Raw genomic sequence first — 1566 nt, 5'->3', positions numbered from 1 at the left:
ATTTATCTAGATGATGTCTAAATCCTCAGAATGATTGCCGGATGGTGGTAACATTTTTAATATATAGTAAGTCATATATATTCTTAGATTAACAAAACATACCCATAAGTCAATATTTTTCCCACCTTTTTTGGGAAAAGTACAAAAGGGAATGACAATACTTCATTTAGCTCTTCAATCACAAGGAAGTTTTATAAACTCCATTTGCCATGAAAACTTCTTGGGTGGAAGATTTCTAGGAAAATGATTAATAAGAAGTAGTGATCGTAGAGAAAACTTAATATAATACCTGTATTCATTGTGTATATCCTAAGACAGCTAAAGGCAAATATTATTTTCCCAGGAAAACTGTTTTTAAATTACAGATTATATAAAATATATGAGGACAGAGAACCACAAATGAGTGAAAGAAAATAAAAATACTTCACCTCCTCCCTGTACAAACCTTACCATTCATTTTAGCCATACAACATAATTTAATCCTTATATTTATTGTTTTTTGCATTGTTATTCTAATTTAAAAAACAATTTGTAGTTGCAAAATAAAGTACAATGTGGAATAAGGTCATTAAAATGCAGAAAAACATAAACACAAGGGCACAGGCATCTTAGTTGATTCAATTGTATTTGTGCACTGAATTTAGAACTGTATTTTGTTGCATCTACAACAAAAAATGTGTATATATGTGTAGAGACTTGATAACCAATTCAAGAATGTATGCAAATGTATCTAAACAAACATTTCTTCATAAAACTCAAAGGTGGGTATACCATGTGATACGTTATTGATAGTGAGTTTTGACAATATGTCAAAAATGATAACAAAAATGAAATAATGAAAGCTGAAACAAGTGTAACAGGCAGAATTCTAAGATGGCCCCTATGATTCCCTCTCCCAGATGTATATTCTCTGTATAATCCTCTCCACTTGACTGTGAGTATAATGGATTTTAATCTCATGATTAAGTTATTCTATAGGGCAAAGGTGAAAGGATTTTGCAGACGTCATTAAAAAAACAAGACTATTGACTTTGAGTTAATCAAAAGGTTATTCCAAGTGGGCCTGATCTAATCAGGTGAACCCTTAAAAGGGACTGGGCCCTTCCTAAAGGAAGAGCGTTGAGGCACCACCTCAGAGAATCTCCTGCTAGATTTGAGGAAGTAAAGTACCATGTTGTGAGAGGCCCTGCAGAGAGGACTATGCAGTAAAGAGTCTGCAAGACTTAAAGCATCAGCTCTGGCTGATGACTAGCAAGAAAATGTGGACTTCAGTCCTATAACCATGATTAACTGAATTCTGCCAACAACCAGAGGGCTTGAAAGAAGACTCAGAGCATCATATGAGCTTGCAGCCCAACCAACACCTTGTTTTCAGCCTGGTGTGACTCTGAGCTGAGAGCATAGCTAACCCATTTCTGGAATCTTGACCTATGGAACCTGTGACGTAATAAAGAGGTGTTGTTGTTTAAGGCTGTAAATGTGTGGTAAATTGTTATGCAGGAATAGAAGACAAATACAATAACATAGAGTTTATTTCTCTTTCATGTGAAAGTAGCCTAGAGATGC

This window comes from Homo sapiens, chromosome 5 (genome assembly GCF_000001405.40).
Source record: "Homo sapiens chromosome 5, GRCh38.p14 Primary Assembly".
Classification (NCBI taxonomy): domain Eukaryota; kingdom Metazoa; phylum Chordata; class Mammalia; order Primates; family Hominidae; genus Homo; species Homo sapiens.
The sequence above is the reverse complement of the archived record's forward strand: the minus strand, read 5'-3'. Positions refer to the sequence as shown.